Here is a 1,447-nt window from a genome sequence, read left to right on the forward strand (position 1 = left end):
GAGAAGTTACGTTTCTTGCCAAAAAATCAAATATATAGTGTTACGATAAGGCCAGAGTAAGTCTGGTGTTCTATATGGACATCTCTACTCACTGACAATGATGGATAAATGAGGTCACATAACTGTATGTACTGACTTATACTAAGATATAATATATTACATATGTCAAGATAAATATCTTGGAATTTTTTATATGGTTATGTGTGTTGATATATCCCCAAACTCGAAATATGATAGCGACAAAAGCTGAATTGGCAGTCAGCTCACAAAGATGGTAGACACCTTTTCTATAATAGAGTGGGAGGTGATCCTAAGTGGTACACCCTAGGTGGTGAGGTAATTGATGGAAAGGAAGGGGTTGAGAGTGTGAACCAACAGCTGCAAAGAGTTGACAGTGAATGGAGTTGTAGTCTAACAGCCATAATGACAAAAGAACTATACATTGCTCATGCAGACATTATATAGAACACAGACTTAATATGCCCTTGATGTGGAAGGAACTTCTGTTGCAAATCAAGAATTCTAGCCACATTTACACATGGGAAACGAGAGCAGCTGCAGTGACATCTTCAGAGAGTGAGTACAATAACCTAAAGTGAGGGAATTAGTCATTCTTCACCTTCTTTGCGTCACATTGTTGATTTGCTATTAACAACGGTTAACGGACGAAGAGATTGCCAACCCCCAACCCCATAACTTCCTATTATATCTGTAAATCCACATTAACCAGACCAAATTGTGGATTTGTTTATGGAAAGGCAGGACATCTAAGATTCAAGAAGTTTTGCTTCAATTCAATGAATTTTATCACAATTTTATATCTACAGACTGCTTCTTCTATAATCTTCATTCTCTTGAGTCCTTCCCAGGTGTTTTGGGACTGAATGAGTTCACGAAGAATTTCTTCTCCTTTAGGCACACATTGAAGAAAGAAAAGATCCTCATGAGGACTATTTATTATTTCCCAGAATTTTGATGCCTATAAAGTTCCAGTAGAAAATCACAAAATGAAACATAAAAAGTTCCTTTGTGGCTCCTAGGACCTACATTCTTAGAAGATGAACCCTGAAGCTCACTGCATAGGCCATTTCTAAATTCCTGCTTTCAGGGAAAGGATCCTACTGATGTTTTCAGATAAGCAGAAATCCTTGAAATAAACGCAGCATGATCTACCCTCTGTGGGCTTCGAATGGCTTCATGGGTATAGGCCATGTTTTCTCAGCTATACCTTAAATGCCTTGAACAGTGGGACTGTGTTATGAACCAAAAGGAGCTCAGCCTCTCTTTGAAATATGAAAACCTCAGGAAATAGCACATAATGGCAAGCTCAGAAAATGTCAGACAGCATTTCCCAACATGTGCTGACTCTTATGAGTGGCTCCTCATAGAAAGGATTTCACGGACAAAATACTTGGGATATAATCCAACCATAGGCTCTTCTTGACTA

Source organism: Homo sapiens, chromosome 8 (genome assembly GCF_000001405.40).
Source record: "Homo sapiens chromosome 8, GRCh38.p14 Primary Assembly".
Lineage (NCBI taxonomy): Eukaryota > Metazoa > Chordata > Mammalia > Primates > Hominidae > Homo > Homo sapiens.